Source organism: Homo sapiens, chromosome 3, assembly GCF_000001405.40.
Source record: "Homo sapiens chromosome 3, GRCh38.p14 Primary Assembly".
In the NCBI taxonomy this organism is placed as follows: Eukaryota; Metazoa; Chordata; class Mammalia; order Primates; family Hominidae; genus Homo; species Homo sapiens.
In genome coordinates, this window is record NC_000003.12 from 24,116,042 (window position 1) to 24,135,354 (window position 19,313).

The window sequence follows — 19,313 nt, forward strand, 5'->3', positions numbered from 1 at the left end:
ACAGGTGCGCACCACCATGCCTGGCTAATTTTTTCTTGTATTTTTAGTAGAGACAGGGTTTCACCATATTGGTCAGGCTGGTCTCGAACTCTTGACCTTGTGATCCACCCGCCTTGGCCTCCCAAAGTGCTGGGGTTACAAGCGTGAGCCACTGCACCAGATCACTTTAGTTCATATGGCCCCTTAGAAGATGGTCTTACACAATTGAGTACTCAGTTGTGTTTGTTTGGTACTAAGTGTGGCCAACTTAGCAAAGCACTTTATATTTATTCTCTTTTCTTCTATGCCTCATTCACTTTTGCCTCCACTCCTTCCTTGGGTGCTATAATGCCTAATAAAATTGCAGCATGAACTTTGCTTTCTGGGGAACCTAGGCTAAGGCAATTCTCTTCTCATTTTAATATAGCCTCCAGGCAATATCACTGTATAGATACAGACTTCATTTATGATTTCATCAGTGTATGGTGTAGGTAGATTGTCTTTAAAGAGTATAACATGGCACTTTTCATCAAGTAGTCAGTGAATTCTCTTGAGATACATGCTCAAATGGTATCTGTAACATTCTGCATTTCAGTAGTTCTACTAAGTTTTGCTTTGGTTTAGACACCATTTAATGTGTCAGAATTTGTGTACATAAACCTGATGACAATTCCCCTTATTTACAAAGCTATGGTGCCCTGAGTGTCTAAACATAAAAACCAGAGTGAGCTGTCATCTTGAGGGTGGAGAAGCAAACCAACTTTGTCCTCTGGCTTCTCTTCATAGATTATTAGACTTTTCCAGGTTTGTGACATGACAACAGCTTCTGGCTTTGCCTGTGTAAAGGGGTTAAGAATTGTACCTAGCTGGAATATATATGTTCCAGCTCTCCACAATAAATGAATCCAGTAATTTCTTGGAGGAGGGAAATATGTTCATTAGGAGGAAGTTGGGAGGTACATAATGTAGACAAGAGATAAATATATAAAGGTTAATCTTAGTCATTTGAATATAGAGTGGAAAAACTCAGAAAATAGTACTCTGAACTGATCTAGCCTAGGGAAATAATGATGCTTGCCCCATCTTACCTGAACTGGTGTTTTCACGAACCAGGAAGAATGCGATCAAACACTTTCTTTGGAAGGTGTTTATTTGGTTCATGTCCTGGCCAAATAAAAACTTGGAGATGAGCTTCCTCTGTGTGAAGGAGAACCGCTTGCTGTACTGAAATGGGATGTTGTTTTAGATTTACCTTTGGTGTGGGCACTGGTTGCTTTTGCTTGCCCACCATTCTCTTCCACTTATAGCAGCAAGACTTAGAATTTTCTTTCAGGAATCATCTTGCCTCAACTCTCAGTCCATAGTTTAGATGAAGCTGACTGTCCCTCTTTCCCCTCACCCAGTTCCAGGATTCCTGAGGATAAGGTTGGTTATGCATCTGTTTTCCTCACCACAGTGATTGGCTCAGGAATGGGCACATGACTGAACTTGGGCCAGTGAGAATTAGGCCAGAATTTTCATTAGAATTGTTGGAGAAAAGAAATTCTCCTTTCACTATATTTGGAGCTGTAAAGCTCATCCTGGAGCTATTGGAGGCCACCGTAAGGTGAAAGGCCATGTGAATGTTAAGTCTACATGAATGACAAAAAAAGGAGCTTCCTGAGAATACTGAGTAAGTGCACCCAGATCCAGCCATGCCTGAAGCTTTGGTATGCAATACCCTAGATCCCAGATATTAAAGTCAATAATTAGCTTTCTGCTTAAGCCAGTTTGAGTTAGCTTTTTGTTACTTGTCATAGAAAGAATCTCAATTAACATGTGTTCAGGGCAACAGAGATTGAGATATATGTTGGCAGCTGATGTTAACATAATTCCATTAGTAATATTCCTGAATAATTTGAGATGAGAAGATGAATGTTGTCCTTGAGCTGCAAAACTTCACCTCTCTCCTCCCTTCATCTTTGTGGCCCCTTCCAAAGAGGTAACCCCCCATCAGCATTTTACTTAGTTTCTTCTCTCCCTCCATAGTTTCTTCTCAAGTAAATTTGCTTATTCTAGTAGATGTTTATTTATGAAATAAATGTCCTTACATCCGTGGTTCCGTCTTTTGGCAGCAGCTGAAGTGAGAAGAGCAGGCAACTCTTTGCCTATGTAGAAAATAATAATATTTAAAGAAAGAGACAGGAAAATATATCTGTTATAAGCTTTTTCTTTTTTAGAATTTAAGCTTATGAGTTTATCTACGCCCACTATATTCATAATTACAGTTTTATATCTGCATACAAAAGCTATGTAAAAATCCATTTTTCCCAAATATACAAATTTTTTTTGGATAGTTTAAAACATTTTGATCACAGATTTCAACAGAGTTTTAGGCTGAAAAAAATATCACCATCTAGCAATATCACTTAACACTGTTTGCAAAACACAAATCTTCCAATGACTGTAAATCTTTTTCTATTCTGTAGTATTTTTCTGATTCTCAGGGCATGAAAACATTATGGGAAAAAAAAGGATTTTCTACGAAGAAAGCATGGAGAACTAATTTGGCTCTATGGTCAAATTAAAAATGCCAAGTTAATAAGGGAGAACCAAAAGAAAGAAGTGGCATAATGTCACATCAGCTCATTCATGCCCTGATAATTTCTGTATCAACAATACATATGTAAAGTGTCTCCTTTTGTCTTACATTGTGCTCCATAATTTACATGAGTATTATCTGCATCCTGAGGAGGACAGATTTATATTTGATTGTCTTGTGCATAGGGTGGGTCAGCTTTAACTGTGCAACAGAAAGCCACAAACAGCGTTTTACCTGCACAATATTGCTCTTGAAGGCGGCATTAATTAATGTGGAAACACACTATAAATGCACACTTTTCGCATTTGCAAACATTTATACAGCACAGTAAAAATTCTGTGATAAGGCCAAACCTTTTTTCCCCCAGTCTGGTTTTTTTTTTTTTTTTTTTTTTTTTTTTTTGAGTGTGTTTTTAATGCATTTTTTTTAAAGATTAAAGTAAAATGTCTCAATTGTAAAAAATACACACCGGGCAAATCCTTACCTGGATAATAAATATCTACATCACAGTACAATAAAATTTCTTCTCTATAAAATTTAAATATGGATTATAGTCTATCACTATCAAAAGAAACACTATGCTAATATTTCCATATTATTAAAATAACAGGAAAAATTACGAGCTTATTTTAGAACCTGATGCCATAGCCGTTGGAAAGGGCAAAGAGATTCAAATGTCGATCATCACTCTCCATTTGAGGAGGAACTGTGGCTTGGTTATTCACTTAAATTCAGTTCATGAAAAAGGTTTAGCCTTACAAATGCTGGCTACATTTCAAAAACTGTAAGACTGATTTCATAATTTATGACTCATGCAGCAAAAGGTCAATATGACACGAATAGGTTAGAGTTCCATAGAATAAAAAGGTATCACTGACAATGACATGCTTCAAGGGTGCTCAGCGGTTCCTTGGAGGCTGAGTCTGTGGGGGGCTTAGTGTCGAGGAGGGGCCAGGGCTTGTACCCCTGTTCATGGAGGAGCAACAAGAACGGCGTTGCTGGCACAGAGCGAAGGCCTGGCAGTCCACCCCAGGCCTGCACTGCACACTGAAGAGCTGTCGCCCGGGGCACAGGTGAGGGGCTTCGCTGGGCTGAGGCATCAACAGGTCAAGCGCGTCATTGAGGACCGAGGCTCTAGAAAAAGCTCTGAGGCGGCACGTGGTGTTTTGAGCAGAATCATAAAGAAGAAAACATCTTACTTTTTTCATTGTTTCTGGAAATACTGCACGTCTAAATTGAGCAAAGTACACTTGAGGGTCACACACGCACGCGCATACACTCACACGCACACACGCCCCACACCGCTCATCCCTAAAAGGGAAGTGATTTATAAATACAAATCCCAGCATAATGGGTGTGTTCTCCTCTACTGAGACGTCTCCCTGCCGAGGGGGTGGGAGCGCAGGTGTGAAGGGTATCTCCATCAGGTCCACACTGGATTTGCAAGTCTGGACAATAGATGAAAAAATGTTTAGAAAAATCTAGAGCAAATCCCTCACAAATGAGTTTTATGAGATGGAGTCTTGAGATGCACTAAGTACCTCTGTCAGCTTCAGAAGGAAGGAGTTTAGTTTCAGAGTCATTATCTTTTGAGTCCTATGGCCTTTCCTTTCAACCTGAAGGTGGGCTAAGGCTTGTCCTACTCCGCATGAAGTATTCAGCCTTCAACGAGATTTCCAGACCAGCAGTTTGCCTATTGAAGGCAATCAATCATTTAAGGTGCCAAGGATCAAACGTTCCTTTACTTGCGGCTGGCTGGATGGCTGTTTATATGCCATACTATTTGGCCAATTCTCGATCATGGTTAGTCCCCAAAGCATTCTGATTTAGCTTGAGATCAGGCTCTGAACTTATATTCAAATCTGGGTGTCTGATGTACTGAGGACCCTGTCAAACAAAATGAGGAAACTTTCCCCAGAAGGCCTGACGCTGCAGGACCCTGCCTGCTTGCCTTCCTCTCATTCCCTTTGGAAAGAAAGCTTGCCCCAGACAGCAGAGCTTCTCAGGGTTACCCTGGAGCACAGAGGTGGCTAAGTGTTTGTCTTCCAAAGAGCGGTTGGTTCCTCAAGGAGTCAAGAGAGGAAGCTGAAATATTAGCAGAGCAAGCAATTAAGGAGCCTGGCCAGAGGCTGCCTAGACAAAACCAAACCCCAAAACAATCTGTCTGTAGATAAAGCAGGTAATCTGCCAATGAATTTCGTGCTTATAATTGTAAATCTTTTCACTTCCTTTCTCTGGGTAACAAGTTCCATAGCAATGTTCTTGTTTCCTTTTTCCCAGAAGCCAGTACAATTGCTTTCATGCATTGAATATTTAATTCCCCGCTCCCAGATAATTTCCAATCATACTTGGAATTTTCAGTGCTGTTCCTCTTCTTTTTCCAAGGCCTCTAAATGGTTGACTAGTATTGTGTCAAATTATTATTTCGAGCCAATAACAAATTTACGTTCCTTAACTGTTAAGTGGGCCATACTTCTTGTCTAATAAAGTTAGGAATTTAAGTGTTAAAAAAAAATAATTAAAGGAACCAGATTTTTTTTTTCCCCTTGAAATTCAGACAATATTAAGGGCAGGAAGGGTTTTAGAGATCATGACTTATTCACCAGGTAAGAAAACCAAGACCTAGAATTACAAATCTACCAGTTGACAGAGCACGAACTAGAACTCAGGCACCCAGACTTCTGGGCCAGTTATGCTCCACCAAACTTACAAAAAGCATCTACTTGGTTTCCATAGTGACTTTCCTTCCTTTGTTTTTAGGTAAATCTCACTGATATGGCTTATTTTCCCCAATATTTCCAGGATAAGGCAGTAAAAGGTAGGCAAAGGAATAGTTTATATCTACTATGCCAGTGGAGAATGAGATACATTCAATTGCATGGGTACATTCTATGCCCATTTTCTGACGCTGAAGAGATGAAGTGTCACTGTTTGTTTTCTGGGCACAAGCTATTCTAGCATGGGCCGTTGGGGAGGCAGGTTGGGCAGGAAAGTTAAGTGTGCACATGGTCTGCAGGTGTTTTCTATTGAGTATCTGTCAGGGTATGCTATGAGAGGGACAGGAGGGTCAGTGGCAGGGCCAGTCTCTGTTTAGAGATAGTCAAGCTATTTAGTTCCTCAGAGTCAGAGGGAAAAAGGGGACTAGGAGACATTTGTCAATGAGGCAAGGAGCTTGAGGATCTAACCAGGAGGAAGCGTCCTCCAGCCATCAGGACACAAAGGGGCCCTCAGAACACTGCATTTCCTTCAACTCAGAATGTAGCTGCACTAATCTCGCCTCAGCATTTCTCCAGAAGAAGACTGAAGTTTCACCGTATCTTTCCTTGATTAGAATATTTGATCCATAGAGAAATCTGTTGTCAGCTCAGCAAAGATACAACCTGGATAAAGAACTTCAGGAGCTTGGGAGATGACAGATCAGATGCCACAGAAAAGGGGTGCCACCCTGTAAATAGGTTTGATTTCTGTAAAAGTGTTCTCTGAGCCTAAATGGGAAAGAAGCCTTCCTACTGTGAGGTAATACTATGTGAATTTTTGGAAACCATGCAGTCACTGACATTGGTGAAGATTTCTAATTTCTCTGGGCTCACTGAAAAAAAATATTTTCCTTGTTGGCCTCCATCAGTCAATACCTGCACATCCTTGAGTCACACCTTTGTATAACTTGAATTAAACCATAACGTTATAAAAATGATATTGGAAGGGCAGCTGATTTTTTTAGGACACAAATATTCCTGTACATTCCAAGTTATGCTCCTAGGAGACCATAAAGAGTGCTGCAAACAGCATGCTCTTGAATAGATGAAAATTTGTTCGAGTCTTTCCCTAAAAGGCTGAAAGCCACATCTAACTAAAGGTGGTCTGTGCTCTGTTAACTTCAGCCCTGCGAACATCAGGATTGGGTGGAGGTGGTCGTATTATCTTGGTTTTAAGGCTTCTTTAGTGTCCTGTGGCGCCATTTTGCTGACTCAAGTCTTGGACCAGGGACGGGTGGGAGCTGGTGATGCTTGGTGCTGGTGAGTTAATGATTGTCCCCCACCCCACCTCCACAACCATAAAACCTTCAGAGCATTCACATCACAGGACCGGAGAACGAAATGCAATAGTTTCAAGTACCCGCATTCAAGGGGCAATTTCATCCATGTCTATGCCAAGGACTACTTCCCTTTTCCCTCCCAAATAATCCCTCCCAACACAAAGAAACAAACAAAAAAGAGCTAGGCAATGGAATGAAATGACACCCAGTAGTGCTGTAGGAATTATGAGAATGAATCCAGTCAGTCTAATCCTCGAACACTTCCAAGAACAAAGGGGGGAAGAGTTCTGTGGGGCATTCCACCTTCATGTGCAGGAAGCGGCTGGCATGGCAGGCTCCTATCATCCGCAGATCTGTCACCTTCATCAGGAGTTTTGGCCAAAAGTGTGTCACGTGGTGTTTTCGGTAATTGATATAGTGTTCAAAGGCCAGCAGGAAACTATCTTGGTACTTTTCTATTCTCTCAACACAGGCAAGCCCCGGGCGATCTGCGGGGAAGAGAGAAGATGGACATTGATTCAGAGATGGAAGGGGGAAGGCTTGCTTTGTCCAATTCCAGGCCTTTATTGGGGGGCGGGCAGATCTAGGGTCTTCCCTCTTAGCCATGAGCATGGATGCAGCGTGAACTCTGGTGCTCCAGGGACCAGGTACCAGGGGAGTGGCATCATTTATATGAAGAGAGGCAGTACTTTGTTCAGATAAATATCTCTGTTTAGACAGTTTAGCTTGAGTGTGAATTACCTTCTTGAGTGTGAAAGGTGATGCCTCCCTCCTAGGGTACAGAAGGAGAAGCCTGACATAGCTGAAATATTCTGCAAGATGAGGGGAACAATTTTGAATTTTCACTGGCTGCCTGGCAGAGAGGAGAGGATGAGCGTGGACATGCATAGAAGGGGGAGATATATGAAGGGACTGGGGACATTGCAGCAGGCCTGAGGCCAAAGGAGGAACGCGGAATAGTAAGACATTTCCTTGAGGACCAAGAAACACCATGTTTAATTTTGTGTTGTCTTCCAGGCTGCAATGAACTGGCCTTTCCCTTCCCTTATGCCTTTAGTAAAATTGCTACCAGTAGCAGCCTTGTATTAGTCATGATTTTGGAATTGAAATGAAAAGGGGAGGGGAGCTGTGCCAGAGTCACCCCATGCAGAGAAGAGAACAGCTATAGTGGGAGCTGGAGTGAGAAGACACCGGGACCCTGGAAAGCCCAGCAAATCTTCCCAAGTCCTGTGCAGACTACTGGGCTTCCCATAGTATGTGGGAGAGGCTCAAGTCAGTTTCCAAAAGTGGCAAACAAAGGGGTGACACAAGGAGGCTGGGCAACTGGGGAATAGTTGGGCTGCAGACACTTGGCTGACAAAAATAATCTATAAACCCGGATGAATTCCTCAAATAGCTCCAGGAGGCCCAACGTGCCCCTGCTAAGTTCTCTTCAGTTTGTTCTTTGTGGCTCTGATCAAATGAATTCACACTTCAAAGGTCCAATTATTGAGGTGTCTGTATCAATAGGAATCGAAACAGGGTTCTGCTTCATTGGAAAGGAAGGATCAGGGCTAATGTCTCAATTCACCCTTCTGAGTCTAAACAAACTAACAAACCATATGGGCTTTTGGAATCCCCTATTTAGCACAAATGGCAATTCGTGCATTTTTATCTTGTGTTTTCCTTCATATTTGATGAAGCTGCTCTGCAGATTTGCTGGTTCTCCCTCTCTCCCTTTCCCCTATCTTCTCTCTTTCTTTGAGTGTGCAAGAATTTTCCACAGGATCCTTTAATTTTTGACCCAAATAGAAGATCAACATATTATTGCTTTGGATGTGTTCTTTCAAAGGGAAAAATATAATGTGGGTTTTGTGGCATCAAAGAGATAAAGACGAGATGGCCACGTAAATGACATAGCGAGTACAAATTGACATTTTGATGATGCTTGAATCACACTGAACAGGTTTATGAAGAGAGAAACATTTTAAAGACTGAAGACCATTTTAACTCCTTAAGACAAAAGTTCTTAAAGAAATGTCTTTCAGATCATTTTCATTTTTTCTCTTTGCACTGTGGGACCAAGGAACTTAGAAGTAGTGGCTCTTGGAAAAGTCTTTGAAGAAAAAGTCTAAGATATTGTGTAACCGAAATGGCACACAAAACATGGGGCTTAGAACATCAGGCCCCATGATAGAACTGGAGACTTGGGGCCCTGACACGCAGCTATCATTTGCCAAATGCACAATGTCTTGTAATATTTTTCTGGTCCTGGCAGTATTAATGAAGAGGGTCCACATCACTGGGGAGGGTGGATTGTGAAAAGTTATTAAGTTGTCCTGTAGCTGTCAGGCAGTGTCAGCCTCACAACATGAGAGAACTGGGAAGAATCATTCAGTTTGGTGTTTGATAGTGTTTGGCATCACATTCACAGTTTTTGTCATCTCCACCTACTTTTCCTTTTATCTACCTTACTTAGATTATTTGCTTAATAATCTGTTAAACTGACCCACTACAGAGGAAACATCTTATTATTCAGTAATAAAAATCCATTTGACATAAATCAGAAGATAACCACAAAAATAGATGCATGGCAAAAGCCTTTGTTACTTTGGAGCTGAAGGTTCTGGCTGAACATTGCTCCTGAGATCCACTCTCTCTTTGTTAAAAAAGAAGGTAAGTGTCAAGAGAGGTGTTAAAGGCAGACTAGCACCACACCGAATCTCTCTCCTTGCCTTATTTGGAAGGAGATATAACCAGGAAGAAAACCGTCAGAGAAACAGCTTTCTCGTGGTGTGATTCAACATTATTTAAAACTGTCTTTGTACCTCTAAAATCTCAGCTAAAAAAATTACCATGAGTCCCTCCAGAAATATAATTCCCGTGTATGTAGCTTAATTTCTTCATTTTAAAGGTCACTGAAGTCCAGAGAAGCTAGGGGTCACCCAAAGTCACACAAGGAGTCCTTGGATAAGCTATAAATTTTATTTCTTTGAGACTAATTCTCCTGAACGACTGTGGGCCCCATTTCTTGCTGGCTGTCACTGGAGACCACCCTCAGCCCTAGAGGTCATCTATAGCTCCTGTCATGGGAACTTTCCCCACATGGCGGTTTACTTCATGAAGCTGGCACGGAGAGTCCCTAGAGCAAGTCTGCCAGCAAGAGGGAATCTTAGATTATGTAATGTAATCACAAGGGGTGACATCAAATTTGCCATATTCTCTTGGCTAGAAGCAAGGTACAGGTCCTGCACACACTGAAGGACAGGAGATTATCCAAGGTGTGAACATTAGGAGGTGGTGGGGAGTGTAGGAGGCCGGTCTGGAGTCTGGGTGCCACAGTGTACATGGGAGTTCATTATGCTATTCTATCTGCTTACCCTTGAAATTTTCCATAATAAAAAGAATTATTTCTTTCTTTTTTTAAAAGTCTGCCATATCTAAATTTCCTATAGTAAATACATTTCTAGATTAGCTTTAAAAAAAGAATTCTAGGCCAGGCGTGGTGGCTCATGCCTATAATCCCAGCACTTTAGGAGGCTGAGGTGAGAAGATCACTTGAGCCCAGGAGTTCAAGACCAGACTGGGCAACATAGTGAGACCTGTTTCTCTCTACAAAACAATAAAAAATTAGCCAGGGGTGGTGGCGTGTGCTTGGAGAGGCTGAGGCAGGAGAATCTCCTAAGCCCAGCAGGTCAAGCCTGCGATGAGCTGTCTTTACACCACTGCACTCCAGCCTGGGCAACAGAGCAAGACCGTGTCTCAGGTTAAAAAAAAAAAATTTCCTACTGAGTTAACCAGGAAGCAGCAACTCTACAAAGAATTCTCGATGTACTTGTGACCGATATTTTATCCACATATTCAGCCATTTATCCAATAAGCATTTCTTGAATTCTATTGCACACTGGCCTAGGTGCTGGATGTACAGTTAGACACATCTATGTCCTCAAAAAAAAGAAGTCCACAGGGACTTACGTGGACAAGTGAAGCAGGTAGTTACAGTGCAGAGTGACAAGTGCCAAAGCACATCTACACTTGGGTGCCCTGAAAATGCAGAGGACTCTGAAACCACTTCTATTTAAAATTATCTTCCCTGAAAGGGTTTGATGTGTAGTGGCTTACAGACGGCTGCCCATTCTGTGCTATCCTCCCATCTACAGGGGGACCGTTGAGTCCTGGCTGGCACTCAGACTTGTTTGGGCCAATCCAGTGTGGATGAAGGGATCCTGTGTGATTTGAGACTGGGCCTCATGGGATCTGCAACTTCTGTTTTCGTGTGCTTGGGACTCTTTCTCTTGGAAATCAACAGCCAAGTAAGAAGTCTACCCTGCCGGAGGAAAGGCCGCATAGAGGGAGGCCTGAACCAGTGTTTGATGTCCCAGCTGAACTCCAGCCATCTTGGATGTTTAAGCCACTAAGTTTTGGGTCGGTGTGCTATTTAGCAACAGATAACTAAAACTTCAGTTGTAGCTAAGCCATGAACAAATTCTAGCCTGCATCCGCGGTTTCCACACACAGAACTTAACACACAATCGTGTGGTCACTCACATCCATATCTGGCATACCCCAAACCAGAAGGAGGCAGGTTTGGCCAAAGACTACGAAGAGGGCTGCACAGTATCCACCAAAGGCGGATCACTTCGTAGAGTCTTTAAGATGGCTCCTTTGGCTTCTTTCTATCCTGGGACACTGCAAAAAGCATCAGACATCTGACGCCCCCCCTTTAAGTTCCCAGTCCACTGGCAAACCTGCAATTTCTTACTGAAGAAGAGTGAGCTATGTTTCTGAAGCTAAAGGGGGACTGAAAACTCAAGTGATTGGAATTAGCGCTAGACAAGCAAAAGCTCTTTGGATGCCCACTAACGAGTCTAGGCGTACTCACCTGAAGACATCAGCAGGACGGCCTGAAGGAGGGCTACTTCAGTGTCATCCAGGTTGAAAGAAGACAGAGACATGCCCAGGTCAAAGATGGCGTCTGACACCACCCCAAGACCCCCATTTTTCAGCTGGCCCCGTGTCACTGCCATTTCCCCATTCAAGGTTAAAGTCTCACTTTCTGGGTCATAGCGCACAGCAGCGCGAAGGGACATGATCTCCATGCAGCAGCCTTTGAGGAGGATGATCTGGTCTTCACATGGCAGCTGAAAAGAACCAGTTCATGTCAGCAAAGAACAAATGCAAAAATGCCAGTCAGGAACAACATACAGTATCTTAAAAGCAATAGGAATAACCTTCTGTGATTAACATTTGTCCTGCATTCTTTGAGCCCATGGTTTTCCCTTCCCTACTTGGCTGCAGACTTTCGACAACCATTTTTCATACTCAAAGTTGACTGTAATCTTCACCAACTTTAACCTCAGGAGTTTGCATTGCTTTTATGACAGACACAGTTCTCCAACTGCTATTACAGTCGTGTGTGAAACTGTGCTAATAACCCCTCAGTTTGGGGGTTTGTATTATAACTTCAACTGATAACTGCTTGAGAGCAGGGTTTATGTTAAACTCTCCATTTTTGTTTGTTTGGTTTTTTGTCTTGTAGCTTGAATAGGTAACAGCTTACCCTACTGTTTAGCTGGCAACTGGGCTTCCTTTTGGTTTTTGAAGCACGTTTGCTCTTGTAGCCTCTTGGCACAAAGCTAGAGGGTTGTTGGCAGAGATACATGTTGCCCATGAGGCCCAGAGATATAAGCTTCATCTAAAGTCACCCAGGGACTTGAAGGCAGAGGGGAGAGCAGAATTCAGACCTCCTGACTCCCAAGGTTGTGTTCTTCTCAGCACCTTAGACACAGGATTACTCAACACACTGGGTCTTTCTGCCAGTGTTGCAATCTCCTTTTAAGCTCATTTGGTTACCCTGTTAGTTAAGATTTGTGAGAATGTGGCAACGTTAATAATAAAAAATACCTTTGCTTATAGGCAAAATAAGAATTTTATTTTCTGGAAGGGGAGACTATTTAATTAAATGCCATTATCAAAGGAGTTTGGAAAGCTATTAGTAAATGGGTGTGTTTGATGAATTGGGCATCATGCCCAGATTTCCATGCATCACCTCATTTAATCTTCACAGCAGTACAATGAAGTAAATATTCTAATTCCATATTACTTACAGATGTGGAAATCCAGGCACTGAGAGGGTAACAAGCTGGGTGGGGGCGGGGGTGGTCAAATGAATGTTTCATGGGTGAGGCTAGGATTTGAAACTGGATCTGTCAGAATCCAATGCCAAGAGAAGAAGGAAACATAACTCTTTTTTTTTTTTTTTTTTTTTTTTTTACCATGGATATGACTAAGTTTCCATAAACAACAAATATGTGAGTTACACCTAATATCTGTCTCTTCATTAGAGCAGTTACAAATTCCTTTTGGGAAACGCTCTTGGCAATACTCAACCAGTCCAATTTAGGTTATTATATAAAAGTAATACAACTGAATTACATCTAAAATACTGGGCATTTTATGTTTTTTACTAGCTCAGCCTAGTCACTTTACCATTTAATTTCAAACTGCTTGGCTTTTTCTTCAGAATAAAAGTCATTGCATATTTGATTCTGGAATCCATACATATGAATTCTCTCCTTCCGCTCATTTTTTAAAAAGCACTGTGATTTGCTTTTGTCTAGGTTCTGATTGTTAAACACAGATTGCTGACCCCAACCTCTGAGTTTCTGCATTTCCCCCAAGTTCCCAGGTAATGCTTATGTTGCTGGTTCACAGATCCCACTCTTGAGAACCACTAGCATAGAACAGCAACAAGAAGTTACTAATCAGATCAAACCATTTATTTTTAAAATGTGTCACAAAGTATGCAAACTGGGGCAGGCCCCACTTTTGAAACCAATTCTGATTATAGATGAAGTAGAAATTTTCTTTTCCAAATTTCTAGTTTAAATACCAACTGTTGAAGATTAGTTCAAATTTAAATAAAAGCTGAATAAGTATTTGCAAAGGATCACCAATGGTTTAAAAACTAGGCCAGATGCCTTTTCCTTTAAGAGGGATTTGTAGGATCCTGGTGAGATTTGTTTCAACACGTGGGCAAATAATCTCTTAGACACCTGCCAAAATGCTTTCATTGTGAGAACACTCAACAAGGGCCTGACAGGCAGAGATGCAGGGATACTCCCACAGGTTCTTCCTGCTTCCTTAGGAGAGCATCACTCAGGTTGACTGGCAAAGACGACAGGGCCCTGCACTCTAGGAGTGGTTTTGCATGTTGTTTTGGCAGCTCTGCCGGCGATGATTTTAGATCTTGTGAAGCCCCTGGTGTCATGCCAGTCTTGTTTGGTGGGTTGGCGTGGATCTTAGAACAATTATCATGAACACAGTTTGAATAGCAGATGTGATAAACTGCCTCTGGCAAGAGACCCCTGGCTCTCAAGACCACCTGAGATCTCCAGCCCACTCCATGGGTAGCTCACGAACCTATACAGTTAATTCACCTCTTTTGGGTTTGAGAGAGAATATAAAAGGCTAAAGGTCATCAGGAGGCCTCAAAGACAGAAAGTACATGCAAAGGTGCTTTGCTGTAAAGGTGCTCCCACCATCCCGCCACCATTGTCTTTTGTAATTGGCAGACCACACGATATCAGGGTAGAAGGAGAGATGGAATCAAAAATGAAACAGCTTGGACTTTTAGGGAAACTTGGATAGATAAGCTTGCCACAACCCATGCTTGAAAAGTTCCACGTTGACCCCTCGCCCTTGCCGTGGATGAAAGTGCGCAGTGTGTTTGCTCCTGGTGGCGGAGATGGCTGCTGCTTCTGTTTTCTTCCTTCAACTGAAATATCTCTTCAGTGGTTTACATGAGTTTTACACTGGAAAAAAACCATCTCAGGGGCTGGGGGGGCGGTGGCATTCAAAGGGTACCATATGACTGGCAGGCTGGCTAGAGTTGTAGGGGTGACAGACTCAGTAGAGTTCCTCCTCAGACCCAAGAACTGGGGGCAAAGGGACACAGCCAGAGAGAGGACCAAGAGAGGTCCAGGAAAACAAAACCATCCCCTCAGACAAAAGAGAACGATGACAGCCAGAACTGGCAAGAGTGAGGGGAAACAAGCCCTTCGGTGCAGATGTGAGAGTGCACATACTTTCTCGAGGGCACTCTGGCAACACATATCAAAAGCCTGTATATCTCGGTCCTTAAATTCCATGTCCAGGCTTTACCCTTCAGACATAGTCAGTGATGCGGGCAGGATATAGTTGCCAGAACATTCACAGGAGCATATTTTTATTAGTGAAAAATTGGAAATGAACTATAGATCCAGTAAAAACAGATAACAGAATTTATGGTAGATGTATTCTTTGGAATACTATGTGGTCATTGGAAATCATTTTGTGAAAAAATATGTAAACGCTATGTCCTCCCATTGAAGGTAAAAAGTTGGTACAGTGACAGGTGCTGGTAACGATCTGCTTCTTTTGGTGCCGATCATGTGGGTGGGTTCAGTTTGTAAAAATTTATTGAGCTGCACTCTTATGACATATCCACATTCTTTAATAAAAAGTTAAAAATAATTTCATACACAGTACATTGTGGTATGCATTATATTAAATATGTTTTATACTTCATATATATGTATGTATGTGTATATGTGTGTGTGCACACACACAAATATTTGAAAAAAGACTAAAATAGGTGCCAAAATCTTGTGGTAGTGTTACCATAAATCATTACCTTTATTATGTTGTATAAATAAACCTTCAATGAATACGTATAATTTTTGTAATATCCTCTAAAATGTTAATAGATGTCTACTTCTAAAAAAGGCGTCAAAGGCATGGGAAGCTCCATGGCCAACACAGAGATATAAGTCAAAGTCCCTTCCTCAGTATCTACTGACTTCTTTAGGGGTGGGGTATGAGTCATTGCTACTGCAAGGCTGTGGGTACTAGCATATCAGGTACCCTGGTGCTATAGACTGAATGTCTGTATCCCTTCAAAATCCATATGTTGCAACCTAATCCCCAGTGTGATGGTATTGAAGGCGGGGCCTTTGGGAGGTGATGAGGTCATGAGAGTGGGGCCCTAATGAATGGGATTTGTGCCCTTGTAAAAGACATCCCAAAGATCTCCCTTGTCCTGTCCATCATGAAGGGACACAATGAGAAGACAGCTGTCTATGAATCAGGAAGCAGGCCCTCACCAGACAGTGAATCTGCTGGTAACTTGATCGTGAACGTCCCAGCCTCCAGAACTGTAAGACATAAACTTCTATTGTTTTTAAGCCACTCAGTCTATGGTATTCTGTTGCAGTGGCCTGAACTAAGACACCTGGCCCCCACCACAGTGAAGCTGGGGCTAAGAGGGAGGCAAACGTGCTCTCTCAGGTAGGTCTAGGGGCAAGATATCTGTTTCCCGAAGCCCACTTTCCTGTCCTTCTGGGTATGGCTTCTGTGGAGGCTCAGAAATTGGCAATGAGAAGTGTCCCCATAATGTCTGAGGTCTCTGTGTCCCTCTGATTCCAGCTAGGCTCCCATTATTGCAAACTCAAAGACAGAAGAGAGCTGGAAGCCAAGGCAGCAGGAGTCATTCCAGGTGAGGAAACTTAGCTTCTTTTTAGGTGAGACCAGGATCACTTATCACTCAGCCTGCTTACCTAAGAGGCTCACAGCTGTCCGTGACCCTCTCTATTTGGTATCTTTCTGGGTCCTCTTGAAGGTATACAGAGCAAGAGACAAGAATCTTACGAAATTTTTTTAAAGTTTTCCAGAAAACATAACCCCATTTGATTAAAAAAGAAGAAGGTTAGAGGCAGGATGGAAATGTAACAGATAAAATAAAAGCAGTATTAGCAGTTAAACTATGGAATACTTATTATAACCCAGGCACTGTCTAATCACTTTACAAATATATTATCCCACTTAAAAAACCTTTCAACAGCTCTAAGAGGTAGACATTATTGTAATCCCCATTTTAAAGATGAGATAAGTGAAGTTTGAAGACATTGGGTAACTTGTTTAGGATTCTTGCCCATGTAGCTGACTGTAGAGACTGTGGCATCAGCCACCACAGGGCAGGCCTGATAAAGTTCAAGTGTCCCAAAGGGAAAGTCGAAGAACTCCGGTGGGACAGCTCTACAGGGTGCCCTGAAGATGGGACAAGCAAGAGTGAGCTTATAGGAAAAGACGAAAGATTTGTGGGGATATTAAGAGCCTGGTTCTATGAGGGGCATTTAACTTATTCTTGAGGATTAAGAAACGACCACACAGTCATCTCACTGGGATATGCACTGAGAAGAATACAGACCTAGGCTCTAACCATGATGTCACATTTGGATAACTTAATCTCTTTGATCTTGATTGTCCCCGTCTGAAAATGGGGTTAATACAAGCAACCCTGCAAATCGGTTAGAAGGATTAGATTGAATGTGGGCAAACCTGAGCACCTGAGTGTGGTAACTAGGACAGCATAGGTGCAGAATAAATGGAATCTATTGCTATCATTATTTCTCAATGCCTGGAATCAGGGGGATGAATAGGATCTTGATGGGCCTTACACGGACAAGCTAATGAATGATGACTAAATACAGAAAGTGGGAAATCCAAATGAAATAGAATGCATTTTCGTTTTGTACTGACGTTGCTTTCATATGATTAAGTCCCTACTAATTAACATTAAATTGTAAATAATACCCAGTATTCCTGGAAACTGATGAAACTATAATTAAGAATAATGCAGAAGGAAAAACAACATCCTCACCTCACAAAACATAGGCAACTTTTTGGCAAAATCCACCACTCTGGTAATTGCTGGTGTGATGATTTTTGTAAAATGGCTGAAGGCTTCCAAGTCAACCTTTCCACCTTCTGGGGCATTGACTATTGGTGCTTGTCCAATGTCTTCTGGCTAAGGAGGAGAAAAAAGAAAGATTTAAATGAAGAAGTTGAAGGGAGCTTTATTTATCATAGTTCTTATGTGGCAGAAAATCTCTTCTGAACTGATATCCTGTACAGTTTCCAGTTTTCACATCATTTGTTAACAAACTGTACAGTTTACACATCTTTGAGTAAAGATATATGTTTTGGCCATTGCTTTAATAGGCCCTCAGTGACAATGTTTACAGGACTGTTGCTGCAGAAAGAGAGAGAGAGAGAGAGAGAGAGAGATCAGAGAAAGGACAGGAATTTGGGTCCTGCTTCTGAATGCACAAAGGGTGTATACTTAGGTAAGGTGACATAAATTCCAGGGGCTCTGGGATGGCATTTTCAGAGCACTGCACATGCTGGTGTGTGTCTGTGTGTGGGAGGTGGGCACACCGTGGGCAGTGATAGAGCAGAGCGATGGGTGGGCCCTAGCAAACAGCGCCCTGTGGATTCTTGCTTCTGACCCAGCTGGGGCTTGAAGCTCCCCTCTGCCCTACAGACTCCAGTTTGAGGTGGTCTCAGCTGAGGGTTGAGGGGGAAGATTGCTAGGCTGTCTACAGGAAACTTGGCAAACTTTAGGGCAGAGTGGTGAATTTACTAGTATTTAATGTCCCTAGGGCAGTTCTCTGCTGTTTACTTGCTCAAGAACAATCCATGGCCTTGTTGCTCAAAGCGTAGTGCAGCAGCCTGGGTGTCACCAGGGGACTTCTTCTCAGGCCCCTCTCCAGACCAGGTGGTACAGAATCAGCATTTTAGCAAGACCTCCAGGTGACTTATATGCTTCCCAACGTCCACAGTAGCCATCTGACTCCTGAGTTTCTCATTCAGTGACCTCCCTGATGTGATCTGTGTCCATGTGTCTCCTGCTGTCACCCAGTGCTTCCTTCAGGAAGAGTCTGCTCCACTTCTCCTCCTTGTCTTTGTGATGATCATAACCACCATTTATTTGTGGCCTACAAGTGAGCCAGCCACTTTGCACACTACCCTGTCTCAAGTAGTCCTCATTCAAATCCTGATTCGCAGGTGAGCAAACTAGGGATCAGAAAGGTTAAGAGCAAGCTGCTGAGGCCAGGCCTGCGATCTGGGTGGCCCTGACTCCACACAGCAGTCTCCCCGGAGCTCCACACCTCCTCACCCCTACTTCAAGGCTTTTACTCCCTGTGGACCTTTTGACACTAATGAACAGTATCTCTACTCCTCTGAACACCCTCCTAGCCAGCCTCTCCAGCTGTCTCCCAGAAAGATGTGAATGTGACCAAGGAGATCACAGACTCAAGCCCTACCCAGTGGTGGCCACCTTTGCCTAGAGCCACAGTGAATAGACAAGAACAAGACCAGTTCTCTTTTCCGCACCCAGGGGCTTGGAGATGGGGGTAGGAAAGGGGGATGGGAATGAGGAACTGACACTGTGAGTGAGATGAGCAAAATAGAATTCCTCACTTGCAGAGCAGTGAGGACACTGCCAGTGGTGAGACTAGCCTAACATAGTGGCCCCCAAACTTCACTGTGCGTCAGTATCACTTGATTTCTGGGCCCCATCCCCAGTGTATTTGATTCAGCAGGTCAGGGATGGAGCTTGGGAATCTGCATTTCTAACAAGTTCCCAGGGTGTGCTGATGAAGCTGCTCTGGGCCCACTCTTTGAGAACCACTGAGTTAGCAGTAACCAAGTCCAGCTTAGAGTAATCCAGTTCCCTTGCCTCCTCCCGCATATCTCCTGTTACTGCTCACATCACATTTTTAGCAGAAGAAAAAGCAAAAGATGATTCTTTTACTCTTCTTGGTGCCAGAGCACCAGGGTCAACAGGAGCAGCCCAGGAGTCATGCTTACAGCCTCAGGGGAAGGTTTTAAAAACATATTATTAATACATAACAA

At 42.7% G+C, this 19,313-nt stretch overlaps 1 protein-coding gene across 53 annotated transcripts in view; it reads right to left on the reverse strand.

Annotated features, from left to right (window-relative positions):
* Positions 1,112–19,313, reverse strand: part of THRB (thyroid hormone receptor beta) — a 378,556-nt gene continuing 360,354 nt past the window's right edge. For 52 of the 53 annotated variants that reach the window (NM_001374822.1, NM_001374823.1, NM_001374824.1 and 49 more), the window contains 3 exons: positions 17,275–17,421; positions 11,458–11,716; positions 1,112–7,084 (listed from right to left, as the gene is read on the reverse strand). In NM_001374822.1, coding sequence (NP_001361751.1) covers positions 6,843–7,084; positions 11,458–11,716; positions 17,275–17,421 — 648 coding nt within the window. In that variant the 3' untranslated portion in view covers positions 1,112–6,842. The remainder of the gene's footprint in view (positions 7,085–11,457; positions 11,717–17,274; positions 17,422–19,313) is intronic. The other variant, NM_001374827.1, reaches the window with a different exon arrangement.